The following is a 6663-nucleotide window of genomic DNA, read 5'->3' on the forward strand; positions in this document are numbered from 1 at the left end:
TCTTCCTCTTTTTTAGTCCATGAGGTACATGCTATTGAAAGTCTCAGGACCCTTAAAGTTAATCGTGTTGATTAGTGGGATTTAACCTCCAAGAACATCTGCCTTTGTTGAACGTGTTTATTACCTGTCCACTCTGTTAAAACATCTTTATTTTACAATTGTTTGATGCTTAATCTTGATATTAAAACCTAAAACACTACTTTCAAGTGATAACGCTTACTTTTATTTATGATTTTTTGCCCTTCTCAGAGTGTTCTTATCAGCTGTACAACCTGCCATAGTGAATTTCCATCTCGGAATAAACTTTTTGACCATCTAAAGGCCACAGGTCATGCAAGAGCACCTTCATCATCGTCTTTAAACAGCGCAACAAGTAGTCAAAGCAAGAAAGAGAAACGTAAAAACAGATAGAGATTCTGCCTGTGCTTTTGTTTGACTGTCTCTAGATTTTGAAACCAAAAAACTGAACTGAAATCATCTAAAGAGTTAAAATTTCAGTGATCTGCAATTAATTACATTGTGGAAGATTATTTTTTATCTTGTAAAAACACTTTTTTGGTTTAATATATATTTTTAAAACATTTCACTAGTGATTGAATTCTACTTTTGCCATCTGAATTGACTTGAATGTCTTAAAACAGGTAAATACTGTAAAGTGTGTATTCTTGATGTTTATTGGCTCATGTGGACAGAAATGTACAGGGAGAATTACATTATTTTAACACACAGAAGTGCAACTTTCTGCTTTATTTTCTGAATTTCACATTACTTTTACTTAATGCTTTTGTGTTTTGTTAATACTTCATAATATGTGAAAAACTCGGATCTTTTAAAAAGCATCATAGATCATTTTTCCATATGACACTGGTTCCGATTTTAAAAATTATTTTTAAATAACCGATTATTGATTACTGTATTTTTTTTCTCAAGAACAGTGATAGGTAGAAACTAATTGAACATTTGGTAGTCTTTCAAGAATAGTGTCTCTTCAAGGTTTTACTTGATTTAATTTGATATTTTACTGGTTTACCAGTAAGGTGTATTGTTCAGTTTTTTGCTCCGATTTGAATTGTGGAGGTGGAAGCAAATTAGTTTACATGGCATGTCCTCCCTAGGCACAGTGACAGCTGTAAAGTATGACGGAACAAGGTAGCAGATGGTACAGAATTTATACTATTTAAGAAGAGATGTGGTGTTCTTCATTGAGTTTTTTTCTTCACTATTTTCAGAAGTTTTTGTTCTTTTTTTTTTTTCCATCACTCAGTGGAGAAAAGCTTTGTTAATGAAAGATTTTGTGATAGAGCTGATGCTTATACATCTATTCTATAACAGTGATGAATATTAACACAAAGGAAATATGGAGAACTGTTATAACTGAGTGTTAGAACAGTCGTGTACATTGATCAGTATTGAGTCCATTTTTAGGATGGATTAGTCAGTTCTTTTCATTGGTCTTGAAAGTAATTTTGGCTGGTCGCGGTGGCTCACGCCTGTAATCCCAGCACTTTGGGAGGCCGAGGCGGGCGGATCACGAGGTCAGGAGATCGAGACCATCCCGGCTAAAACGGTGAAACCCCGTCTCTACTAAAAATACAAAAAATTAGCCGGGCGTAGTGGCGGGCGCCTGTAGTCCCAGCTACTTGGGAGGCTGAGGCAGGAGAATGGCGTGAACCCGGGAGGCGGAGCTTGCAGTGAGCCGAGATCCCGCCACTGCACTCCAGCCTGGGCGACAGAGCGAGACTCCGTCTCAAAAAAAAAAAAAAAAAAAAAAAGAAAGTAATTTTAAACTCACTGGCTTGAAATGTGTGCTTTCTGTACAATGAAGTTATTGCTTTCCATATATCCTTGAATCTTCAGATTAACGAAATGAACAAATTTTCGGTTACAGATCAGCTCTCAAACACTAAAGTCCTTAATGGCAAGGTCTTTTCTGATAGCTTCATGGATAGTATTGATGATCAGATTTCTTCTGTGTTATTGTCTTAAAAATAAGCATTTGAACCTTAATTTAAATTCTTTTCTTTTCCATTTAGAGATATGTTTTTTTCTTTACCTTCATACCTTTCTATTTCTTGCTAATTTCTATCACTAATTCCTTATAATTGTCCCTGCTCCCCTTCTTGATCTCTTCAGGGGGAATACTAGGCAGTTTTGTATCTTCTGATCTCGTACCCTGAGACTTCATCTGAATGTGCTCTGCCGCCTTCTTATCTGAACTAGATGAATTGGCCATAATTATGAATAGGAATATTAATGAACCAGAGGACATACTAGTCACATGTTATTATACACTAAAAAATAGGAAGTCATCTTGAAAGGCAGTTAATGTACTGCAAATGTCCCTATGACTTCTTTGCTTTCTCTTATACCAAACATGCAGGTATTTAATTTGTTTAATGAGGGTTGAGTGGAGTTATGTGTCGCTTTTATTCGGATTGACGAAAATCAACCATAATTTTCAAGGGATCTTCATGGGTTGTGACTGGAAGCTGACCTTAGTCTTGCGTCTCATCCTTTATGATGTTGAGAAATCATCTAATTTCTCAGAACTTTTTCTTATCTCTAACACAGTTATTACCATAATAATATTGTCTCCATTTATCATACAGGATCATTATGAAAGTAAAATGAAGTAGTATATATGAAAATGCTTTTTAAACACAAAAGCTTTATACAAAATATTGTTGAATTTAAATAAGGTAAATCTTTTTTAGTTTATATATTTGCAGACTATACATGTTGGATTAAATGGGCAATTAAGTTTTATAGGAATTTGCTTCCTAAGTCTACTTTTGAAGAGGAAAACAGGAACGTACCATATATTTTGCTAAGGGTAAAATATTTTTGGTGAATTGCAGACATTTAATTTCACTTGTCTGAGGTAAAACAATAAACTAAAATACATGGGCATGCATCTTACACTGATCTTATTAGAGGTCAGTGCTAAGTACCCATCTTGATTGAAGTTAGCTCAGATGTGGAGATTCATAGAATGAGGGTCCAGGAGAAGAAAGTTAGGGGAAATCTCATTTTCTTTCTGTAATTCATTCAGTGGTGCCAAAGCTGGGGGTTCCCTACAATGGCTATTTAGACTTTCCCTGCTTCAAAATAAGAGCAGTATCCTTAGCTCTAGCCAAGCATTTTTCTAATTCCTGCCTTTGGTCACAAAGAAGGAAAAGCAGAGCTGTGAATGAGTTAGTGGAGGTCAAGTCACATCAGAGTTCATGACCTAGTGATTGCTGGTGAAGTAATATTGGAATTTTGGTACCATGAGAAGACTTATAAAGGATTTCATCAGAAGTTTTCATTTTTTCTAAATCCTCCCCTACAAAATTTTCAGATTGGAAATTACTCTTGTATTTGTAGAAGATTGTCTCTAAAATTGTGGTTTAACTCACGCAGGAAGTAAAATTCCTATAGCAAGACATAGTTTCATTTTAGAGGACCCCCAAAATCCCGTGAATTCTCTGGTGATGATTCTAGCCTAACCTTCAACATAAAATAATGAAGAGAACTTTTAAACTTTTTTATGAATTCCTAAACATTACCATTTATGTGGCAGAAGTTCTGTTCCCTATAATCTGCAATGCTGAAGTATCTCTATTCAATTCCCTTCCTTATCTGTTAAATTTAATGTCTTTATACTAAAAATATAGGCTCTTGGGATTGGAGAGGAAAAATTAGAGGTGATTTTCAGATTTCTTGTTCTATGGAAGAGGAAGCTGAGCTCAGGGAGATATGAGCTCCACAGCCACAGCTGGTTAGGGGCGGCTGCCAGTAGAACAGGGCAGATGCCTGGACTCCCAACTCAGTAGGCCTTCTGTTACACCTCAAAATGTGTTACATGGGAAGAAAAAGATTAAGAAAAAGCAAGATAATTTTGAAGAAGGACGAGAGGAAGAGGCATGAACTTGTCCTAACAATGTCAAAGAATATTTTAAAGGTATACCAGTTAAAGTAGTGTGTGGCTGGTGCCAGTAGAGGTCAGTCAAGGGATCCCTGACGAGAATAAAGAGCCCAGAAACAGGTCCATGTTTATATGGGAACTTGATTTTTGACAGATACGGCAAGCTCTATGGGGAAAACAATATGTACTACCTTATACCCTTCCCCAAAAACAAAGGGATTAAAGACCTAAATATGAAGACAAAACTTTTAAATGAGAATCTATAAGGTTATTTTCATGATTTTGCAAATGGGAAGGATTTCTTTAAAGCAAGACACAAAAGCATACACAGGAAAAAATGATGCATAAAAACATGGCTTCTGTAGAACAATAGAGACTGTAAAAGAACAAGCTACAGACAAGGAAATGTTTGCAATGCATGGAACTGTCAAAGGATTCGTATCTGGAATACATTAAAGAAGCAAAAGAACCTCATACAAAAGTCATTGAGTAAATGACAGCCATGCATTAGAACAGCAATTCTCAAAACTTTTGGTCTCAAGATCCCTTTACACTCTTCAAAAGTGAGAACCCCAAAGAGTTTTCATGTATGTGGGTTAAATCTATTGATATTTTCTGTTAGAATTTAAAAATTATGTTAAAAAAATAAGAAGAATGACTATTTTTCAAAACAAAAAATGAGAAGAGTGGTATTGTTTTACATTTTTACAAATCTCTTTAACATTTAGCTTAATAAAAGATAGCTGGCCTCTCATACCTGCTTCTGCAGTCTATTGCTGTGTGTTTTGGATGAAGTATGTGAAGGAGAAAATCAGCCTCACATGGATAGGTAATCGTTAAAAAAAAGGGACCTTGCAGACCCACTGAATGGGTCTCGGGACCGCTAGGGTCCTTGGACCACACTTAAAATTGCTGCATTAGAAAAATGGATGAATTATATGAACAGAAAAAGCCTGAATAGTCAAAAAAAATGTGGAAAGATTATTACTGTCCTGATAATCAGTGAAATGTGACCTAGTTTTTTCATGCTTTCAGATTAGCAAAAGGTAAAAAGTCACAAGATCTAGTGTTGGTGAGAATGGAGCAATAGGAACACATTCACTACTTTTGGAGTAAAAACGGGTTCAATTTGATGATGTCTAAGAAAGTGAGGTTTGCATACTCTGTGACCCAACAATTCTAGGTATACACTTAAGAGTCTCACTTCCCAAAGTGTGGGCCACAGAGCAGCAGCATGGGCTTCACCTGGGAAGCTTGCAACTCTCAGGTCCTGACCTGGACTTGCTGCACCAGACTCTGTGGTTAAGATTTCTTAGGTGACTCATGCTCATGAAACCTTGAGAAGCAATCTTCTAGAGAAACCATGCACATGTGTACAAGGAGATGTACAAGAAGCCTCACAGCTGAACTGTTTGTTTCCAGGAAAAGTTACCTAAATGCTCATGAGCAAGAAAATAGATAAGTAAATTGTGGCCTATTTATAGATGGTAAACAATTGAGCAATTAAAATGAATGAACTTGATCTGTAATGTGGATGGCCCTTGAAGAAATAGTGAATGAAAATAAGCTGTCGCAGAAGATGAAATGCATGCCATTTATACAGTTTTTTAAAAAAACTATGTTGATTGTTATTTATAGAGAGAAAGTATAGAAACATAATGAGAAAGCAGTTGCCTTGAACTCAGAGGAGAGTAGAACTGCTTGTGGTTGCAAAAGGGGTCTCTTCTGTTTCAATTTTTTTTTTTTTTTTTAAAGATCTGAAGGAAGATGTAAGCATTTGTTAAATTCTGGATGGTGGGTCCATGGGGATTTGTTACTCTGGTTCTAACAAAATACTTCAAGTATCAAGAAAAGTACAGATGAATGTCTCACTTTGCTAGCAGAATATACACTTGAATGAAGGGGAAGATGAAGGGATTTAAGTTCTACTTTTTATTCTTGGCATACTCATTAAGCACACTGGCAGAGGCTATGGTCTCTCAATATTCATCCTCCCTTTTAGAACTCTGATTTTCAGATAAGTGCAAGGCCACCCAGAATATAAGGATTACTTTCCCAGCCTCACTTGGATTCAATCAGATCTGGCTAGTGATCTGAGCAACGTTTGGGACATGTCCTTAAAGATAGGAGCATGTCTTTATTCCTTCGCCAGCCAAAATGCAGAGGTAATGTTTGGAGCTCTGGCCCCTATCTGGGATCGTGAAACCACAGAGGGCACAGCAACAAAAAACATAGGAGCTTCTACTCTTGACACCTCAGAGGGACACTAGGAGCCCCAGATTGTCTACGTCTGCACTGGAGAGAAGAAAATTTCTACGTTTCTGAAGCCACTGCTGTTTTGACCTGTCACAGATAACAAAATCCTGACTGATTCATGTTTCCACATGTGTACAGTTAGCTAAGTGAGAGGTCTAGTTTAAACAGGGGCGAGGGCATGTGGGCATTTAACTCTCAGATCTTGCATTGAATTCCAGTCTTGTGTTAGCATACGATTTTAAGCAAGTCATTTAAACACATTGAGCAATGTTTTTTTAAATCTGTAAAATAGAGGTGAGACCAATCTGGCAGAATTGTGAAGATTAGAGTCTTAAATGTGTGCACAGTGCTTGGCACGTAGTAGGCATTCAATAACTTAGCTTTTGTTTACTTCAAAAGTTTCACAGTATTCTTGCTTCATTTAACTGTTCACTTTGTTTTCTGAAAGAATCCCAACAATGGAGTAATCTGGAGAGGTATCAGTGATTAAATTGATCCTG

The 6663-nt window shown here is 36.5% G+C and overlaps 1 protein-coding gene across 5 annotated transcripts in view, besides 1 other annotated feature; it reads left to right on the forward strand.

The window, feature by feature from the left end:
• Nucleotides 1–4661, forward strand: part of DNAJC21 (DnaJ heat shock protein family (Hsp40) member C21) — a 29406-nt gene extending 24745 nt beyond the window's left edge. For all 5 annotated transcript variants that reach the window (XM_011513965.3, NM_001348420.2, NM_194283.4 and 2 more), the window contains one exon: nt 250–4661. In XM_011513965.3, coding sequence (XP_011512267.2) covers nt 250–411 — 162 coding nt within the window. In that variant the 3' untranslated portion in view covers nt 412–4661. The remainder of the gene's footprint in view (nt 1–249) is intronic.
• Nucleotides 1393–1566: a silencer, noted in NCBI's record as "fragment chr5:34955801-34955974 (GRCh37/hg19 assembly coordinates)". NCBI's record gives its function as "represses an EF-1alpha promoter that drives an FKBP-Casp9 reporter gene in an ReSE screen in K562 erythroleukemia cells {active_cell/tissue: K562}" and the evidence as "EXISTENCE:reporter gene assay evidence [ECO:0000049][PMID:32094911]".

Source organism: Homo sapiens, chromosome 5 (assembly GCF_000001405.40).
Source record: "Homo sapiens chromosome 5, GRCh38.p14 Primary Assembly".
Lineage (NCBI taxonomy): Eukaryota > Metazoa > Chordata > Mammalia > Primates > Hominidae > Homo > Homo sapiens.